This window comes from Homo sapiens, chromosome 18, assembly GCF_000001405.40.
Source record: "Homo sapiens chromosome 18, GRCh38.p14 Primary Assembly".
Taxonomy (NCBI): Eukaryota; Metazoa; Chordata; class Mammalia; order Primates; family Hominidae; genus Homo; species Homo sapiens.
The window spans coordinates 38610325-38612459 of NC_000018.10; the positions used below are offsets into that span (position 1 = coordinate 38610325).

Below are 2135 nucleotides of genomic sequence, written 5' to 3' on the forward strand. Positions count from 1 at the left end.
TATAGAAATATTATTACACCTACTTTCAGATGAGATGCTTTAAACCAATGACAGAGAATGTATATAATCAAATATAGCCATTTCTATCAGTTATGATCCCTATTTTACCAATGAGATAACGGACCAGAGAGATAACTGATAAGGTAACAAAGCAAACTAGCAGTATAAGTATGCTGCTTATGATGGGTGGTGAGGGTTACAAAGAAAAAGTCTTCCGAGCTTTTATTTATTTTTTGAGACAGGATCCTTCTCTGTTACACAGGCTGGAGTGTAGTGGCACATCATGGCTCACTGCGGCCTCAAATTCCCAGGCTTCAAGCAATCCTCCCAGGCTAATTTTTAAAAATTTTTGTAAAGATGGTGTCTCCCTATGTTGCCCAGACTGGTCTCGAACTCCTGGGCTCAAGCAGGCCTCCCACTTCTGCCTCCCAAAGTGCTGGGATTACAGGTGTGAACCACAGTGCCCAGCTAAGTCATTTGAACTTTTAGTCTGGTGCTTTGTCAACATATCATATTAGTCCCTGAAGCCTGTGCTATTTCTGTGAGTTTAAATGAGAAAACTGGCAAAAGTTATGTCCTAATCAACTATTATCAGTCCAGTCACTTTTCAAAATATTTAACAAATGTTAGAAGATGTAATCCTGTATGGCTATCCAAAAGCAGAATTATTTTAATTCATTTATGTGGAAAGTTTGTGGCACTCAAACCAGAACTTCAGCTGAACCATTTCTCACTGCTCATACCCTTTTTTTTTTTTTTTTTTTTTTTAGCTTAGACTGAGGTTAGTTCTGTTCTGAGATGAAGACACCACTGCCGCTTGCTGTTCTTGAACATGCCTCTAAGTGGGATTTTCCCAAGAGCTTTCCCTTAAAGAAAAGCAGAACAGAGGGCTGGTTTTAGAAGTGGCTGCTCCACCGCATGGAAGAATCACAGCCTCTGGGGACAGGTCTCACCACAGGCTATTATTAGAACTGAGCTGTGAGTTTGAAAATGGAAAGTGAGACTCTGCTTGCATATACGTGCACACTGTGGATGCCCAGGTGCCAACGAGTGAAAGGACTCGCAGATGCCTCCTTGAACAGCATCTGTCTTCCTCTGTTCACTGGGAAGGTGTGCCACCACACTTCTATCTGCTGAGCCTGAGAAAAAAAAATTGTTTCAGAGTAGGCAGTTGCTGTAGAGCTACAGTAAGACAGGAGCAGGGGGCATCTCAGGGTGAATTTCCACTGAGGCAAAGCAGAAGACTGGGGAGGCGGAAAGAACATTAAACAGCCTGACATGACAACTGGTTTCTTGTGTGCGTGACTGTGGACAGATGACTACGCCTGTACATTCATCTGGAAATTGGATAAAGTAGACTAGGCCAACACAATTCTAATTTCCTTCCTAGGGCTAAAATTATAAATTCATATATCCTCTTGCTATCTGCTAGAGTCTTTACATCTATATCCAGACTTGTATCTACCAGTGGTGACACAGATACCTCCTGATACAATCCTTAGTCATCCAATGTATCTCTTTATCTTACCATTTTTTACAATTTTCATGACTGCAAAAGTCCCTATGAATTCAGGATTTTCAAAACGTTTGGTCTACAATTGAGCAATAGTGCATATGCTGCATGTCAATAGAGATAGTCACTTTTTCCTTCTCCCATATTCCTTACTTCACAACCATTGGATCCCCTGGGTTCTTCCTGTTAGTAGCTCAAACCTGTCTCCCTGAGCTCCCTCATCCATATAAACCCCCATTAATCACCTCCCTTGTATCAATTTAACTTACAAGGACAAATTATATTGTATAAATGATTCCTCCTGGTCTAAAAATGTGTATTACTGTAATTCCAATAGCAACAATAATAGGCAAAATAATCTATATTTTAAAAATATTGCAAGAAGCTATTAAACTTCTTTTGGATCCTGTCTCTGACACTTATTAGCTGTGTGACCATAGCTAAGTCACCTAACCTCTCTGGACTTAAGTTTTCTATTACGTAAATTAAGGATCATGAAAGTATCTAGTCCATGGGGAATTTGGGGGTACACATGTGCATGTGTGGGCAGACACACACACACACACACGCACAAAATCAGTGCATCTCTAGTTGAGAGAAAAAGAGCATATGCCTCTTTCTT

General features: G+C 40.4%; 1 annotated feature.

Annotated features, from left to right (window-relative positions):
- Positions 741–1050: an enhancer, noted in NCBI's record as "active region_13244". NCBI's record gives its function as "activates an Ori minimal core promoter by ATAC-STARR-seq in GM12878 lymphoblastoid cells {active_cell/tissue: GM12878}" and the evidence as "EXISTENCE:reporter gene assay evidence [ECO:0000049][PMID:35858748]".